Source organism: Homo sapiens, chromosome 10 (genome assembly GCF_000001405.40).
Source record: "Homo sapiens chromosome 10, GRCh38.p14 Primary Assembly".
Classification (NCBI taxonomy): domain Eukaryota; kingdom Metazoa; phylum Chordata; class Mammalia; order Primates; family Hominidae; genus Homo; species Homo sapiens.
Window position 1 is genome coordinate 11,939,602 of NC_000010.11, and position 19,765 is coordinate 11,959,366.

Here is a 19,765-nt window from a genome sequence, read left to right on the forward strand (position 1 = left end):
CCTCCCAGGTTCAAGTGATTCTCCTGACTCAGCCTCCTGAGTAGCTGGGATTACAGGCGCCTGCCACCATGCCTGGCTAATTTTTTTGTATTTTTAGTAGAGACAGGGTTTCACCATGTTGGCCAGGCTGGTCTTGAACTCCTGACCTCAGGTGATCCACCCGCCTCGGCCTCCCAAAGTGCTGGGATTACAGGTGTGAGCCACAGTGCCCAGCCATGTTTTCATATCTTGTAGAGCATTTCACTCATTTCCTGAAAATCTGTTAGCTATTTTGCTTATTCTTACAGATGTTTTAAGAAATAATTTTAAATTCATTCTGCATTGATCTCCCTGCTCTTCTCTTTCCCTTGGAAAAACAAAACAAAACATCTTCCTGGTGTGATATAATTAGGATTATACTAAGTTTAAGGGCTTGATTTATGGAAAAATAATATCTCTAGGATACTGCATCCTCCTATGACATTCTCATCAAAACAAAGAGACTCTGTACAGTTGTTCAGTATTTTGATAATGCTGAAAAACTAGGGCCTAATATAGAATTAAGTTTTTCTCCAGCACAAAAAGCACATCTCCTGCAAAAATGTGAATTCGAACTTCCCTCCTCGATTACATCTTCCCATCCTTCCAGCTTGCTTCTTCAAGAACTGTCAATAAGCAAAAATTATTGGACCATATCAAAAACTTCTATTCCTTTGACTTCATCAGCTTTTCTACCTTATTTCTAAATGTTAAGGTTCTTCAGGGCTCAATCCTGACCCTGCTTCTCTTCTCTGTCCACACTTTACACCGGGGATGAATCATTTGTTCCGATGCTTTCAATATACTCTACCCATCACATTTCTGTTTTCACTCCACGTAACCTTCTGATCTCCATACATTTCCACTTGGACACCTCAAAGGCTTCTCAAGTGGACACGGCCAAAGGGAAACTTTTGCTCATTGGTCCCTTGTTTCCTGTCCCAGAGATTAGCCAGTGGCCCAATCTGGAAAACCAACTATCATCTTTGATGCCTCACCCCCTACACACCCATATCCAATCCAGCGCCAAATAAGCCAGGTCGTTCTACCTCCGAAATAGCTCAAATCCAGACTTCTCTCCATGTGCCTTGCCATATGCTAGACAGCTGACTGTCATCTCTCACCTGAATCACTACAAAAGCCTTCTGTCCAGGCTCCCTGCTTTTAGCCTTGCCCTGGTGGGTACCTCTGCCCTCCCACACAGGATTGTGCCCCGCCCTCTATTAGTGCTGGCCGCCTTTTAGTTTTTTAAATACAGGTTCTTTTCTCCCTCAAGACATTTGACACATTGTTCCCATCTTCCCTTAAATTTTCACCTGGATGGATGGCTCCACTTTACTTTGCCCTGTTTGAAATTCATGACCTCAGAGACTTCTTCCCCACTATCCTATCTAGGAATGCCCTTCCCTTAATCTCTACCAAAGCATTCTGCTCTTAGCATTTATCACAATTTGAAATGATATATTTGTTTAGTTGTTAAATATCTACCTTCTGTTAGAACAGGAACCACCTCAGTTGTATTTATCACTTTATACTTAGCCCGATGCACACTGTTAAGCACACAATAGGTACCCAATAAACATATCTGCTAAAGAAATGAGTGGCTGAGTAAATGGCTACTGATTTATATAAGATGGGAAGTTTCTCAGAGAAGTAAACTATTCTCTCCTCCAAGGGATTATAATGATTATGTTTTATTTGATTGCTTGCGCTCCTAAATAACATAAATGTAAGATTTATTTCATAAATTAGGAGCTTTCTGGATATATGAAGACATGTTATTTTAATATATAAAGAAAGAAGATCACCTAAGACACCTATAACACTAATTTGTACTTGATCATACCTTTGGCTGTAGCAGCATCAAGGAAAGTAAAATCCAATATTTCAACTCTAAAGGACTGCTCCATGAGCATATAAAGATTCCATAATATCTTCTACCTTTAAAAAAAAAAACCCTGTCTTTTAACTCTACGACCTTCTCTAGCTACCTCCCCGTTTCTCTTCCCTTTCTGGCAAAACTCCTCAAGACTTATCTATATGTAGTATCTTCACTCCCTCCCTTCCCATTCTCCACCAAACCCACCCCAGTGGGGCCTGCATCCTGCCATTCGAACAAACCCACTCGTCACGTCACCAAAGGGTTAACAACAAGTACATATAGGGCTGAAGTAAGCAGTCTAAGATTTTGTCTCTAACTCTAGAAAAATATAGTTACTTGAAATTACTGTGGCATTCAAAAAACTGCTAAGTAGTGTTTTTTAGAAAATTCAGTTTATTAATGTTATGAATACATTAAACAACTAGCATTTCTTTAAACATTAAATAACAAACATTTTTCCATTAACATAGAAGCTATTCAACTAATAAATGGAAGAATTTACTGAATTAAATGACCCCAAATGTCTATCTTCTGCACAGTTTGGCTTCCAAACAAACTGCAAGAAAGAAGTCTTAGAAATATGACTTAATAGGCCAGGCATGGTGGCTCACGCTGTAATCCCAGCACTTTGGGAGGCCGTAGCAGGAGGATCACCTGAGGTCAGGAGGTCGAGACCAACCTGGCCAACACGGTAAAACGCTGTCTCTACTAAAATACAAAAATTAGCCCGGGGTGGTGGCACATGCCTGTAATCCCAGCTACTAGGGAGGCTGAGGCACAAGAACTGCTTGAACCCAGGAGGCAGAGGTTGCAGTGAGCTGAGATCGTGCCACTGCACTCCAGCCTGGGCAACAGAGTGAGACTCTGTCTCAAGAAAAAAAAAAGAAATATGACTTAAGAAATAAAAGGCAAAGATTGGCACAATGAAATTATTCTGTTCCAAATCTTGTGTGTGTTGCATTTTCACCGACTCTACCTCATGCAAATCAGGATGTGGGATACAAGAAGGACAAGAAGCTGGCTGCAAGCTGTCTACACATGATCTAGCAAAAGCTGCTGCAGAAGAGACACTTAGATAGGAGAGGCCTTCACATGAACCAGAATGTAATGGGCTGCAATGTTTTGTATTGAGAAGAGTCTTTGAAACAAATGACATTTAATACCTGTAGATTTTCTAGCATCATTTTATCCAGAGCTTGAATGAAGTCCTCATCTTCTACACAAGGTACATGCTTAAGTCCACCGCCTTTAATCATTACCTCCTTATTAAAACAAAACAACAAAATCAGACCAGAAATTTTAACTGTAATGTTTTCTAGGGCAAAGCCTTTTAGTATTGACAACTTGTTTAACATAACTCAAGGAGTAAAGTGAGTAAAATATCTAACATTATTCAATGTTAAAAGAATTTAAAGAAAATGGTTAGGAAAACAAATTGAAAATGAATTTCTAAAGAAATATTTTTCATAATCAAAAGAAACAAATTCAGTTTCGTGACTAAAATTCAAATACTATAAAAATGCTGCACAATTTCAAAAAGTAAATTTTTCAGCCATACGTACAGTATTCTCTTCATCGGTTTCATTTTCCTTATTGGAATCTGTAAGGTAATCTGTATTCTCTTCCTCCTCTTCTTCTCCCTCATCATCATCATTATCAGAACCCTCCTGAAATTATTGAACATTAGAAGATTAAATAACTTTTCGAAGTGTAACCATATTTTACATGCCTTAAAAAGATTTCAAAACTTCTGTATAATTGTTTATTATTCTCAAGTTTTAGCTCTTTAGGTAGTTGGTTTCCAATGGGAGGGCAAAGTCAGCTAGCAACGTTTAAGACAAATCAGTAGTTGAAAACCCATCTCACTACCTTCAACTGATCTAACAATACAGAGATCTATTGTAGAAGCTCTTTCTTGAATTCCACAATGAAGAAGTTTCCTGAGCCTTTTGTGTTCTCCTCCTCCTGAAACAAATCTGGAGAGGCTGAATGTCTCACAGTAGTTCTTTAATACCCATCTAACTGCAATGGAAACCAACAAAAGTTCAAATGTAACAGCATTACCAGCTGAAAGCAGTGATACAGCATTACCTTTTACAAAGCACTTCGATTTGGAAGGTGTTCTCATACACTTCATTTTGTTTGCTCTACCCAAGTCTGAGGATGGAAGGACAAGCTTTATTGTTCCTATTTTACACATGAAAAAACTGAGGCTCAGAAAAGTTAAGTGATCTGCCCAAGGGCACACTGCTGTTAAGCAGAAGACCTGGCCTTTCAGCTCCCCTAACTGGTGGTTTTCAAGGACTACTTCACCCCATCCTCACAGTCAGTCCCTGCCTCCCTCCACTTCGATCAGCTGAAATTTCTTGTCAAACAGAAGATGGGGCAGAGCACCGAGAGATTTTCAAAGGGCACAAAGCACAGAGTGGAGCTTCATTTACCCCTCCACCCCAGTATCCCAAGTCACCCCCGCATGGTTCCTTAAGAGTAAAAAAAACAAAAAACAAACAAAAAAAAAAAACCAAAAACCCACTAAACCCAGAGCTGCCTCTCACTGTGCCATGATGGCTGAGAAATAATTCCTGAAACAAATACTTAAATGTGTTACATTATCTTTAGTGTATGTAGCAATTAATTCCAAAACCCCAACAGTGTATACACAGCTGAAGATTCTGAGTTCTTAAAATGAAAACGTTTCAAAAACGTATACCAATGGTCGGCGCCATGGCTCACACCTGTAATCCCAACACTTTGGAAGGCTGAGGTCAGGGGATCACTTGTCAGGAGTTCAAGACCAGCCTGGCCAACATGGCGAAACCCCGTCTCTACTAAAAATACAAAAATTGGCCAGACGTGGTGGCAGGCACCTGTAATCCCAGCTACTCAGGAGTCTGAGGCAGGAGAATCACTGGAATCTGGGAGGCAGAGGTTGCAGTGAGCCAAGGTTGTACCACTGCACTCCGGCCTGGGTGACAGAGCGAGACTCCATCCCCCACCAAAAAGAAAAATGTACACCAATACATTACCTTTTCCCCCCAAATGCATTAATGTTTTCTGAATTAATTTTATAATTCAAAATTAAATTTGCAATAGAGGTACTCTTAAATTTGCTCTTGAAAAAATGAATCCTTTCTCAACACTTAAAAGACACTTCCCATTCATAAACTAAGCTAAAATACATTAACTTTTCCCCTCTCTCCATCCTTTACGTTTCATATTACTCAGGGAATGTAGCATGCATTAATTTTTCAAATTAAGATTTTGAACAAGAATTTCATTTGTCCTATCCCAGTGTACACTGATATAATAATGGGTGGAATTAAGAAGTGCTCATCAATGGACCACAAAACCTAAGCAGGCTAGGGAAAGCAAGAGGAACAGTGTCGCAAAAGGCAAACTGCCTGAGTTCAAATACCGGCTCTGCCATCACCTGCTCTATGATCTTGGGCAAATTATTCAACCTATCTGTGCCTTTGTTTCCCACCTACTGCAAGGGTAGTATGAGAAATGGTAATACAAATACAGCCCTTAGGGCAGTAACCATGAACAATAAATGCTCAGTAAATAACTATTACTGCTATTATAAGAATGAATCTTGCACTTTCTGTTGATAAATTACATAATGCTAGAGAATATTGGAGTTATCACGGAAGAACATTTAATTTAAACAGTTATCTTTAACTTATAGAGCTGACATTTAAGAGAAAATGTTCAGGTTGTTAGGTGCTCAAAGTCACCCCCACTCTTCAAAATGTCAAATAGAACTTTAAACAGCTGAAGACCAAGATAAAAATAGAACACAGCATTTGTTTTTAAGAGCTGAATTCTAACCCTTCTGTCTCAAAGTAAATAACTGTAGAATATCCATTGCTCTTATTACTTCATAATCAATGCATCTTTCTTTAATAAATTTCTCCTCCTTATGTTTGGAGGGCGGTCATAGGAAACTGGTCTTGGGGTGAAAGGAGAAGTGAACTATTCCAACCTAATTTCTCACAAAGTGAACCAGAGTCCCAGTTCACTTCTCCCACACACAAGCACTTGGAACCTCCCTCTGCACATTTTGCTTGCATTTTTATGTAGCAAACACACATGTATCCTGTGCAACATGCATTCTCCAACTGGAAAAGTAAGTAATAGTTACAAATGATATAACTATCAAAATTATAAAGTTCATGTTTAAAAAGGAGAAAATGCACTTAGAGGAGGAAACATATCAGAACTCTTCAAATGAGAAATTAATAAGAAAATGAGCCCTCCTCAATATCATATTTACCAACAATGCTGGATTTATTAGATACTGCTCATGTAATTAGTACAGTAGCCAAATCCAAGACAACCATAAGATTAGTCTGAAAATATGAAATGGAAATAGTTTCTCATTTCCCTTTGTTGTTATAAAATACTTAATGAGTCAACTTGAATTCTATTACTGAATGTTTCTATTACAACCTCATTTTGAAAACAAAGCAATATAATGTTCATCTAGTATACTGAAGCCAATTAAAGAAACATATTCCAGTTCTAAATTTTTACTAACTTATTTATATCTAAGGAAGTTCTAAGGTTGTCAAGAAAAAGTGGTAGCAAATAACATAAATACTTAATGGTGCATTTCCACTGCCTATAAATACTAGCCAATTAGGAAAACCATACATTATTGCCTATACTGTCTTTTCACAACCAATCCTTTTTAACTAATAGCAAAGCAATTTGTTATGCAGTTAAACCATTCCAAATTTCCAATAAGTTACAAAGCTTTAGGGCTAAAGGAAACACAGCCTTATGGATTTTTACATCTGACCGTAGAAAACTTTAATCACCTTAAATTATGAGTCCTTTCTCTTTAATTCTAAATAAAGCTTTTTAAAAATCCAGTTTGCAAATCTATCTTATGAATGTCATAAACAATTAACATTCCTTTAAATATTAAACCAACATTCTCAAAATATTTACATCCCATTTACTCAAATAAAAACTTTAAAAGTGAAATTAAATTTCCCCAAAACACTTAAGTATTGACTGCAAATTTAAACTTCTTTCAATATTTAATTAAAATCATACTTCCAGTGAAAAACTGCTAATTTCATGACTTAAATTTTAATTTCATCAGTATTCTATTCGTATCTTTACTCACTCTAACTTTTTAAACTCTCGTTTTGTTTCTTCTATACCCCTAACCCATTCCCCAATCTACCTCGAGATTATAAAGCAAATCTCAGACATCCTTTTATTTTGATCGACTTTTTTTTTCAATTTAAAGAAACAGGGTCTCACTATGTTGTCCAGGCTGGACATGAATTCCTGGGCTCAAGCAATCCTCCCACCTCAGCCTCCCGAGTAGCTGGTACTATAGATGTGCACAGCTTCATGGAACATTTAAACGTAAGTGAGTTTGGAAGAAAAAACTGAAGAATCATGGGCCAAATGCGGCTCACGCCTGTACTCCCAGCATTTTGGAAGGCCAAGGTGGGGGGATCACTTGAGGCCAGGAGTTCGAGATTAGGTTGGCCAACATGGTGAAACCCCATCTCTACTAAAAATACAAAAATTAGCTGGGCATGGTGGCACACACCTAAAATCCTAGCTACTTGGGAAGCTGAGGCACAAGAATCACTTGAACTACGGAGGTGGAGACTACGGTGAGCCGAGATCATGCCACTGCACTCCAGCATGGGCGACAGTGAAGGCTGTCTCAAACAACATCAACAAAACCCAAAGAATTAAAACTGCTAGTTTTAATCACACAGAAATGACATTTTGCTAAGTCAGAAACAGTACAAGAACAATTTCATATGGTTTAACTTAATAGTCATAGATACAAAAAGGGTGTATCAATTACTATCGTATATGTTGAATTTCAGATTTCATATAACCATGAGATCTGGGAAAAATAAAGCAAAGCTCATTAATATCTAGCCAGTAATTTTGTTTTGAAGAGTATAAAATCCACTGACTAAAAAGTCCATATTCAACAGCGAGATTAAGATACACAAGAAGTGGGGTGCAATGGCTCACACCCATAATCCCAGCTCTTTGAAAGGCTGAGGGAGGAGGACTGCTTGAACCCAGGAGTTTGAGACCAGCCTGGGCAATATAGCAAGATCCCCATCTCTACAAAAAAACCCCAAAATAATTAGCTGGGCATGGTAGCACGTCCACACGGTCTCAGCTACTGAGGAGGCTGAGGTGGGAGGATTGCTTGAGCCCAAGAGGTTGAGGCTGCAGTGAACTATGATCACACCACTCCACTCCAGCCTTGGCAACAGAGAGAAACCTTGTCTCAAAAAAAAAAAAAAAAAAAAAAAGACATGTGGAGATCAATTTTTTCTTTAAATTGCTTATTAAATAAAAATGCTATAATCAGTATTTTATTACTTTCTTTAAAAACTTTTAATTAAACAAGGGGTTTTATGATAAAAACATACTACTAGTTACATTTACTATAATAAAACTAAGGAGGAGGCCAGGTGCGGTGGCTCATGCCTGCAATTCCAGCACTTTGGGAGGCTGAGAGGGGCAGATCACCTGAAGTCAGGGGTTCAAGACCAGCCTGGCCAACATGGTGAAACCCCATCTCTACTAAAAATACAAAAATTAGCTGGGCGTGGTGGCGAGTGCTTGTTATCTCAGCTACTCGGGAGGCTGAGGCAGGAGAATCACTTGAACCCAGGAGGCAGAGGTTGCAGTGAGCCGAGATTGTGCCACAGCACTCCAACTTGGGCGACAGAGCAAGACTCTGTCTCAAAAAAAAAAAAAAAAAAAAAAACCAGGAGGAGGTCTTATGTATTAAAAAAATTTTGGCTCATATAATCAAAATACTCTTATACAAATGTACTCTATGTTGCTACATATAAAAGTCATCACCTCTTCTTCTGGCTCATTTACTTCACTTTCATTTCCAGATTGTTCTTCTGTTTCAGCCCCACCTTCTTCTTCTTCTTCATCCTCTTCAAGATTTTCTCCTTCTGTCATAGAATCTTTTGAGTCTTTGTCATTTACTAGGCCTTGAAATGAGAAGGTGGAAATGGAAAAATACATTAAAAATAGACACAGGCTAGTTTTCTACACTATACCAATTCATGTAAAAGTATGCATTAAGAATTCAACAGCCATTTTCTCAGAACAAAGGTAAAAGAATTAAAAACTACGGTGAGAAACATTTAAAAAACTAAATGTGTAGGCCTACATTTCAACAAATAAACACAACTAACAAAAAGCGAGAAAAAATAAGTGTATGTGTGTGTATACTTTTCCCTCTTTTCTTACAGCTTTAAATACTTGGATAATCTTGTATATCTCAGTCTTGGACAAAGGTAGAAAACAGTAACAGATGAGGTACAGTCTCAGCCATATGTAAGATACAGCGTTGGCCACACTCTTTACCAAGTGAGATTTAAAGAGTCTCCAAAAACTCAAAAGACATGAAAAAAATCGTGCCACTTTAATGGAGAAATCATATGTGGCTATCAATTTGAATGTATGCAAATTAAGACGGGGGAATGGGGCAAAACGCCATAGCAGCTTTGTCACCATACAGACTAATTTTTTTTCTTCAATAACAGCATTCTCCTCCTAAGCCTAATGGAACTCCCTGGCCTGAATTTGCTTTCACCTCCTGTGTCCATCCCACATTTCACTGCCCAGTCAATTCTTCTTCCTGTTGGAATTCCAATCCACCCTCTCTACTTTTGATATGCACACAATGTGGTCTCATCTGATCCCACTGATCTGCTACCCACTCCTCTCTCCTAAGCCCTCCCCTGAAGTTGCCTTAGACGTCTCCTGTCACAGAACACACTGCTTTGAAATCTTGCTTGCCCAATATCCTTCTCAATAGAGAATACCCTTCAATATGCACTTTCAAATCCCATCCACTCTTCATGTTCAGTTTCAGTTTTACTTCCTGCATGAACTGTCAATGAGTACTTCAATCTATTACTTTTTCTCCTATTTGCTCCTAAAGCATGTGGAGAACTTACAGCATCTTACATTTGATGATATAGCATGTTGTTATTTTTTCCTAACGATCTCATAAATATTACATCAGATTATAAGACCCCTGAGGACAAAGAACTTGTCTTAAATGTTCAAAACTTAAGACAGCCCATATATTAATAAATACACAGTAGGTGTTAAATAAATACCTGTTCATGCATAGAATCTTAGAGGATTCAAGCAGGAAGAAACTTTAGCGATGATGTGATTTAACCCTCTCATTTCATGAATACTGCTTTGAACACTTCCAAACCAGAATTAAATAACATTGCCAATTACCATTTTAGTTTTGTTCTTAAATTAAAATAAAAATCTGAGCCAGTAATCCTATCTATCCTGAGAAAATCACAGGTACACTAAAAATATTATTTACAGTGGTATAAAACTAGAATCAACCTAAGAGTGAAACAGCTGTATTAAGTAAATTATGGCACATAGATACAAATGAATACAGCCAATTACAAAACAAAAAATAAAGCTTTAAGAGAATATGTGTAATGTCAAGAAAAAATTTCATAATGTATTAAGTAGAACCAATTGGTTAGAAAATCACAAACACAAAAAAAATTTAAAAAGAGTAGAAAAATATGTATTAAAATATTAACACGATTATCTTTCTGTATGGAATATTGGTATTGCTTTCTTGGTTTTTTAAAAATTACTGTCATGAACACATTACTTTTAATACTATTAAAAGTTATTTTTAAAATATGATAAAAATGGTTTTAGTGTTTTCCAATTAACTATTATGTTAACATTGGGATACTATAAAACTAACATGAGACAATGAATTTTCAGGTGTCTGAAAACAAAAAACTACCAAAGGCACAATACTGTATTATCTTTTGGTTTATCAGTAGGAAACGGATTTAATATTGATTTTTCTGCATACGTCTTCTTCCTCAACCAGGAAGCAAATGGAGACTTGGGAGTGCACTGATTGCGGCCGCTACCATCTTTAGAGTTTCATTCACAAACAGCGATCTATTTTTACCTCCATATTCTAAACAAGGACAAAGTCCTCACAAGAAGCCTGCAGTCCTTTAATTTAGCCTTTTGATCTACAAAGGACAAAGCACAACTGTTCTCTTTTCTGTCACTAAACTAGGTGTCACACTAATATTTACTCATGTCCACTATACAGAGAATACCATTCATGCAGGTTTTTGGGAAACAAGGCTAAGACTTAACAATTTTCCAAGGATCCAAAGCAAGTGAAATAAGTTCATAAATACTCTGCTCAATATGAGATCATGTATTCAATTAGAAATTTCAAAAGGAAAAGAAAGTAGGTAACTTGGAAAAAGGTTCAAAGAACAAAAAGAATCATATATGCCTTTACGGGTTAAGTTGTAGGAAAAGTTAATACTTGCACAATCAGTAGCAGCACTTGTAAAACCTTTACCATGAAAAGTGGTTCTTCAGATATGCGATGTCGTAAATTTATATAATTTGCATAACTGGCGAAAGTAAAGATCCCTTAATGACAGACATGAATGTACCAAGTTCTAGTGGGAAATCAAACACTAGCTTAATAGTCTGAAAACGGGTCACTTTTTATTTATTTACTTTATTTTTTTGAGATGGAGTTTCGCTCTTGTTACCCAGGCTGTAGTGCAATGGCGTGATCTTGGCTCACTCCAACCTCCGTCTCCCGGGTTCAAGCGATTCTCCTGCCTCAGCCTCCTGAGTAGCTGGGATTACAGGTGTGCGCCAACATTCCTGGATAATTTTTGTATTTTTAGTAGAGATGGGGTTTTGCCATGTTGGCCAGGCTGGTCTCAAACTCCTGACCTCAGGTGATCTGCCTGCCTCGGCCTCCCAAAGTGCTGGGATTACAAGTGTGAACCACCACACCTGGCCAAAACGTGTCACTTTAAAATGACTACAATAAAACATGCTAAGAACTATCAGCATATAAACCAGATTGGTATGGCTATACTTTGTACTGGTTATTTCTAAAGACATATAGGTTCCTGCAGCTCTAGTGGAAGCTGTTCAAGAGTTAACTCTTCTCCCCAAAACAACCTCAGGATACTAAAGTATATAGAGAACCTTCTAATTATCTCTAGATTTTCTCTAGTCCTTAGAGACAGAAGCAACTCTGCCAGTGGGTAAGCTCTGAAATCCTGTAGGGTAGAGTTCCAAACTTCTGACAGGTACTCCCTTCTACAGTTTCTTTGCTTGCACTTTCTAGGAAATAATGCCTGTTGAAAATATATACGCAAAAATAAGAAATGCTTTAATAAAAAATAGATTTTATATTAGCAACCAAAAATTCTAAAAGTAAGAGAGGTAGACAGGATTGTGGGTTTTTTTTCCCCCATCACTGTCACCTGCTTCAAGTCCTGTCCTGCAAGTCCTGCTTAACTGTTGTCCTCCGGTTTGAAATTACTTAGTGAAATCAAGCACACCACACAGGCATTACCTAACACTACTACGTAACACTCAACACCGAAAATAGAAAAGATACAATGTAAGCTCTGACTGGTAACATTATAAAGCAAATTCCAGAAATAATCTGCCAAATATCACCTTCATTTTCTGTCTGCAATCAATTGCTTACCTAGTTTTATTAAGAATTCTCGTTCCAAGTCTTGTACCTGCCTGATGGATTCTTCCAGAGAATTACAGAGTTTGATCTTTGGTCTTAGCAGTTCTAGTGTATCACTGATCATGTAATCTATATCAATAGGAAATGGATGGTCTTTTGTCCAAACCTCCAAACTTTTCTTCCACCAAACATAACGCTGATAACAAATGAAAAATAAATTTAGCTATAAGAAATTAGTAACAAAATATTTTAAAATAATAAACTATATTGTGCTGTTTCCCAGTTATAACTACTAAGCTGAAAGGTTATAAAAGACACTTACCATTTCTATTAATGGTCAACAGCAATGATCCTATTCCAATCATTTCCCTCTGTCTATACAGGTCTTGAGCTATTTGGTGAATTTACTAAATATCTTTTTTTTTTTTTTTTTTTTTTTGAGATGGAGTCTCGCTCTGTCACCCAGTCTGGAGTGCAGTGGCGCCATCTCAGCTCACTGCAAGCTCCGCCTCCCAGGTTCACGCCATTCTCCTGCCTCAGCCTCCCGAGCAGCTGGGACTACAGGTGCATGCCACCACGCCCGGCTACTTTTTAATATTTTTAGTGGAGACGGGGTTTCACTGTGTTAGCCAGGATGTTCTCAATCTCCTGACCTCGTGATCCGCCCGCCTTGGCCTCCCAAAGTGCTGGGATTACAGGTGTGAGCCACTGCGCCCGGCCCTAGATATCTTTTTATTATAACTGTCACAGTTTTTTTAAGGCAAGGAAATATTATAAATAAAATACCAAATAAATTTTTAGGTACTCCAAAACAAGGCACTGATTTCCTATATTTAATTTTACAAATTTAACCAAATTCAAAGCCATCGTTGTGATAATGTTCATTATTTTCTCTGTGCTACTTGCTTTGATTTTTGAAGAGTTAAAGTATCTGAAAATACGGTTTTTGAAATATATAAAAATCACTAATCATCAACAAGCATTTATTGAATATCTACTGTGTATATGGCATGGTGTGGATATTTTCCCTCTCTACTCCAAGCCTGGTTCCCACATTCTATTTTATACTTGTTTTAATTCCTAAATTTACATTAACTGAAAGCACAACCCAAGAATTTACTAGTATATGAACAGGTATTCCTCTGGGAGTTTTACTCTTCCTCTCCAGTTTGTTCCAGGTCCTTGCTACTCCAAGTGTGGACCTCATCTGGGAGCTTCTTAGAAATGTAGAATCTCAGGCCTCCCCCTAGGTCAACTGAATCAGAATCTGCATCTTTACAAAGTCCCCAGGGGACATGGATGCACAGGAAAGTTTAAAAGCACTGCTCCAGGGGATCCTTTCTTCCTGACCTTCTAATACTAAACTGTACACTCCATGTTCTGGGTGAAACACACAGACCTCATCACCCAGGCCTCACTCACTTCTGACTCCAATTCCTAGGTATGGCTCTGTTACACATTTTTGTCTGTTAATCAGTTTGGAAAATATTTTTGTCTCTTTTGGCTCCTGAATATTTCTGAGTGTTTCTTTTCTCTCAGCCTAAGATGTCAGAGTGAATCGAAAGGATTCTCTTCTGAGAGAGATTCTACTTTGGATGCTGTTATAGCTGCCATTTTGCAGCAAAACTCTGGCTTTTAATACAGTATCCAACTTAAGATGGTCCTTACATACAACAGGGACTGCAACCCTCAAATCTGCAAGTCCTTTTCCCCACTTTTTGCTCATCAATTCAGAAAGTAAGGGAGTAATAGGTTTCCCTCTACTGCAAAAGAATAGCGGTAGGAGCAAGCTAACAGACCGCAATTCCCGAAGAATATTTACCCCCAACTTAACACACGCCACCATGTGGATGTATTTTTGATACTTCAAGTTACATTAAACTTATTTTCTTCATAATGGGTAAATGAAAATACTAACAATTGTGATTATATAGAATCGAATGGTACTATCACCACTTAGTAAAACTTAAAGCACTTGATAGTGAGTTGTTCACCCTAATTGGCACTTAGAAAATTGTATTTTATGGGAAATAGTAATTGGGCTCCAACTAATCAACCTATAAGTTAACCTCTGAAATACAAACTTTATAGAGGTTGTAGTACTGTCCCTGTATTTGTATATGAATTTAATTTATATTGTGCTTGGTCTAAATCACAAGTTTATATAATAACCCAACATTAAGATATGGAAAACACAACCCAAGAATTTACAAATAAATGAACAAATATTCTTACTGTATTAAAAATAACACATTTTCCTCAAAAATGATAGGTTTTCTTTTTTTAAAAAAAAATTAGGCTGGGCACAGTGACTCACGCCTGTTAATCCCAGAACGTTGGGAGGCCGAGGTGGGCAGATCACCTGAGGTCAGGAGTTCAAGACCAGCCTAACCAACATGGTGAAACCCCCTCTCTACCAAAAATACAAAAATTAGCCGGGTGTGGTGGAGTACACCTGTAATCCCAGGTACTCTGGAGGCTGAGGCAGGAGAATTGCTTGAACCTGAGAGGTGGAGGCTGCAGTGAGCTGAGATTGCACCACTGCACTCCAGCCTGGATGACACAGCAAGACTTACTCTCAAAAAAAAAAATATATATATATATATATACATATATATATCTTTTAGAAACAAGAATTTGGGCTGGGCGCGATGGTTCATGCCTGTAATCCTAACACTTTGGGAGGCTGACGCGGGAGGTTTACTTGAGGCTAGGAGTGCAAGACCAACCTGGCCAACATAGCAAGACCCCATTTCTATTTAAAAAAAAAAAAAAGAAAGAAACAAGAATTTGAGATGTAAACCAGAATATACATGAGTGAGAAGAGAACATTAACAAATGTATTACAAATCACAAGTAATTTAATCAATAAATTACTGTATTAAATATCACGGTCCATAAATTACTGAACCAAATTTATAAACTGTATGAAAACAACTCCCAAAATTAATGACCAATCATTATCAATCATAAAAGTTATATGCAATGAGAATGTTCATACAATAGAATCCATCATATATCTTTAAATTTCCAAAAGCATTCTTATATGAAGAATATAATCTAATTATGAACATATATATAATATATGAATACCATAACGTTTCTTCTCTCATAGTATTCTTTTAAAACACATGCAATATGTTAAATGATGCCAAACTGAATATTTCAGCTTATATACCTGAAAATATACAAGGAAACAATCAAGTTTTCGTTTACTGGAACCTCTGTCAAAGTACTGGCCACATGTGTCCAGAATAGTGCATACGAGTCTAATTCTGAAAAGATGCTCAGGTGGGTCCAGGGAACTTGGAGAGCCATCAGGATTAACACCAAATGAGGTAAAAGAATACAGAGTTCTGAAAATAACAGCTGATTCCACCATTCGGTAATTGTAAAGTTCTCCTAAGAACTTGGCACTGCTGATGCGCCTCTGATTAAATTTAGGTTGATTAACCTAAAAGGCAACAAAACCACAGATTTTCATTAAAGAGGAGTAGTGTATATGAAAACAGGTTAAACTTGTCTCTGTAACTTGAAAATATCTATTACTGAAAGAACACTGAATAGAGAAATGACAGATCTTTTCTAATAAACTGGTTACTTCTAGGTGTCCTTTTCTCTCTCTAGGAAATGGCTATCTTTAAAGTGTTTTCATAAAAAGAACATGTTAGGTATTAAATTTAGCTATCATTACATGAATTGTTTCTAAAACAGTTAAAATGTAATTCTACCCTTAACCTATTTTCTCTGCCATCAGTGAATTAAGGAAACAATAAATCTGGGTTTTACAGTAAGAGGAAACTGTTAGGCCGGGCGCAGTAGCTCACGCCTGTAATCCCAGCATTTTGGGAGGCCAAGACAGGTGATCACCTACGGTCAGGAGTTTGAGACCAGCCTGGCCGACATGGCAAAACCCCGTCTCTACTAAAAATACAAAAAAATTAGCTAGGCGTGGTGGCATGCACCTGTAGTAGTCCCAGCTACTCGGGAAGTTGAAACAGGAGAATTGCTTGAACCCAGGAGGAAGAGGTTGCAGCGAGCGGAGATCGTGCCAGTGCACTCCAGCCTGGGTGACACAGCGAGACTCAGTCTCAAAAAAAAAAAAAAAAGAGGAAAGTGTTTACAGGAAATTCTTATAAAATGATTATCAGCTTTTTCTAACTAATAAATTTACAGATTCCTATAACTTGAGTCTCAATAGTAACCTAGAAATAATAAATTCTCCACGAATTCCAGTTGTGTGACATTAAAGGAAGTCTTGTTTACCTCCATTCCTAATCGAATATCTTCTAACACTCCATCCACAACGTGGATCCCAACATCCTCTTGGTAGAGCACTAGTCCTGCTAAGAGGTTGGCTACACAATGAATACTATTATATTTCACATTCCAGATGTTTATCATACAACAAATAACATAGTCTTTCACTTCTTGGTCCTGCCAGGGCAGCTTTCGCATCTGTCTCAAAACCTAAAAAAAGAGAATTTTGTTCAAATTATTAAGATAAGTACACAGTAGCCTGACCAAATAATACAGAAATTTTGCTATGATTGCGCAGAGAACTTTTGAAATAGAAAATACATTAGAAATCCTCTATCGGCCTCTTCAGAAATAGAAAAACTGAGACTTTCTAATTACAATAAAATGTATTATCATCTTTCCTAAATCCTTCCATAGTGCTCTCAAATTTTCTAGAGTTTTCAGGTCTTCAATCTAGGTGACTGTTCTCAGGTCATTAAAATAAATATCCAATCAGGAGTTTGGAGTAGGTTTCTTTTTCCCCCCCAGACACAGTCTCACTCTGTCACCCAGGCTGGAGTGCAGTAGCGCAATCTTGACTCACTGCAACCTCCTCCTCCATGGCTCAAGCAATCCTCCCACCTCAGTCCCCCAAATAGACTGGACTACAGGCATGCAATAGCATGCCTGGCTAATTTTTATATTTTTTGTAGAGGCGAGATCTTCCTATGTTGCCCAGGCTGGCCTCCAACGCCGACGTCAAGTAATCCCTGTGCCTTGGCCTCCCAAAGTGCTGGGATTACAGGCATGAGCCACCATGCCCAGTATGGAGTAGGTCTTTAAAAACAAAAACGGGCCAGGTGCTGTGGCTCACGCTTGTAATCCCAGCACTTTGTGAGGCCAAGGTGGGTGGATAATCTGAGGTCAGGAGTTCGAGACTAGCCTGGCCAACATGGCAAAACCCCATCTCTACTGAAAATACAAAAATTAGCCAAGCACAGTGGTGGGCAACTGCAATCCCAGCTACTAGGGTTGCTGAGGCAAGAGAATCACTTGAACCCGGGAGGCAGAGGTTGCCGTGAGCCGAGACTCCACCACTGCACTCCAGCCTGGGTGACAGAGCGAGACTCCATCTCAAACAAAAACAAAAACAAAAACCCAAGGTTTATGAAAAATAACATGCTCTCTTTGGTGCATAATTTGACATAAATAATCTCACTTTCTTTCTTTCTTTTTTTCTTGAGATGGAGTCTCGCTCTGTCATCCAGGCTGGAGTGCAGTGGCATGATCTCAGCTCACTACAACCCTCCGCCTCCAGGGTTCAAGCAATTCTCATACCTCAGCCTCCCAAGTAGCTGGGATTACAGGCATGCGCCAACACACTCAGCTAATTTTTGTATTTTTGGTAGAAATGAGGGTTTCGCCATGTTGGCCAGGCTAGTCTCGAATTCCCGGCCTCAAGTGATCTGCCCACCTCGGCCTCCCAAAGTGTTGGCTCATAGGCATGAGCCACTATGCCAGCTAATAATCTCACTTAAAAAATAAAATCATTAATTTCCAACAAATAAATAAACCCAAAGTCAACTGGCTAAAAGATCCCTTAAGGTGGAGGACACTGTATCAAGACTGAGGCTGTACGACAACCTCAATTTCCTCATGTGTAAAACGGGGGATAACAAAAAAGTACTTACTTCCTAGTTTATGGTAAAGACTAGACAAGTTAAAAATATGTGAAGTACATAGGAAAGTGTCTGGCACATTATAAAAATGTTAGTGGCCAGGTGCAGTGGCTCACACCTGTAATCCCAACACTTTGGGAGGCTGAGGCAGGAGGAGGATTGCTTGAGCCCAGGAGTTCGAGACCAGCCTGTGGAACATAGCAAGACCCCATCTCTATTACATTAAATTTTTTTAAAAAGTTAGCAATTACTATTTCAAAGCCTCTACTATAGCAAGATGATCAGCAGAGCTCTAAACCATAATCAAAGTCTTTCCATTTTTCTCCTTATATAAAATGGATACTATTAGCCAATTGCAAAGTAAGCCTTTCATCTCTACTCTTTATTATCATCCACAATTCATCTTTCAAACACTAAACATGATTCTGACATTTCCAACGAAGCTGGTATGAGAACTCGTTTAGCCATTCTATACTTTTCAAACTTTTAGCCAATTCCAAAACTATTTGAAACAACTACTGCCTCTGACTGAGGAAGCTGGTTTCAATTTTCAAACCTGCAACATCATTCCTTATCACCTTCCATCCTAAAAGGAAAAAAATTCTACCCTGTATTATATGTCAAGTGTAGAGTTCACCAAGAAATGTTTTGTTCAACATATCTTACTTAAAAGCAAAGTTTCTAACATGGTAACTACAATTATTAAGATAATAGGTCAGTGATTCTTTACCTTCACTGGAAATTAACCCCTGTTGAGAATCTAAAGAAAGCTGCAGACCCTGTTTCCAGAAAAATACAAATAGCCAGAGACGTTCAAAATTACGAAATTTCAGAGGGATCATGGGCCTCTTATAACGTCTACTAAAGGTTAGGATCCTGTGTACTGATGCAAAATAATATTTAAGTACAAATTTGTTATGGAATACCAGAGAGAAAGTAATAATTTCAAATATATACATAAAATCAAAATTTACTAGAGTTACTATTTCAATTAAAACAAAAAGTTATCATAAAAGGAAAACAAAACCTATGTCCCAAATATTATATATCATCATAAGAATTCCTTCTTAGGGTGACTTACACAGAGCTGATTATAAAGGAACTTGAGCTCTACCCCCACTTCTCCTAGACTCTACATAAGCTTAGCACTACCACAAATCTCACGTTAACTATTAACTGCATGATTTCATAAGATTTACCTTCTCGGTGGTAACCTTAGAGAGATCCTTGTACAAAAGTTTCCGGACATATTCCTGGAGAGGAGGACGTTTCTTTTTCACGGTTTTTTCAGCTGGAGGTGGGTTGCAGTAGTAATATGCATTCTCTACCATTGTGACGTATCTCGCATCAAGATGCATTGCTTGCTTCTTTCTCATCATTTGCTCCTGAAATAAA

The 19,765-nt window shown here is 38.0% G+C and overlaps 1 protein-coding gene across 3 annotated transcripts in view; it reads right to left on the reverse strand.

Annotated features, from left to right (window-relative positions):
* UPF2 (UPF2 regulator of nonsense mediated mRNA decay) overlaps positions 1-19,765 on the reverse strand; it is a 123,149-nt gene that overhangs the window by 19,580 nt on the left and 83,804 nt on the right. For all 3 annotated transcript variants that reach the window (NM_080599.3, NM_015542.4, XM_047424986.1), the window contains exons 12-18: positions 19,570-19,755; positions 16,719-16,922; positions 15,631-15,906; positions 12,465-12,648; positions 8,768-8,907; positions 3,463-3,567; positions 3,064-3,162 (exon numbers count right to left, since the gene is read on the reverse strand). In NM_080599.3, the coding sequence (NP_542166.1) occupies positions 3,064-3,162; positions 3,463-3,567; positions 8,768-8,907; positions 12,465-12,648; positions 15,631-15,906; positions 16,719-16,922; positions 19,570-19,755 (1,194 nt within the window). The remainder of the gene's footprint in view (positions 1-3,063; positions 3,163-3,462; positions 3,568-8,767; positions 8,908-12,464; positions 12,649-15,630; positions 15,907-16,718; positions 16,923-19,569; positions 19,756-19,765) is intronic.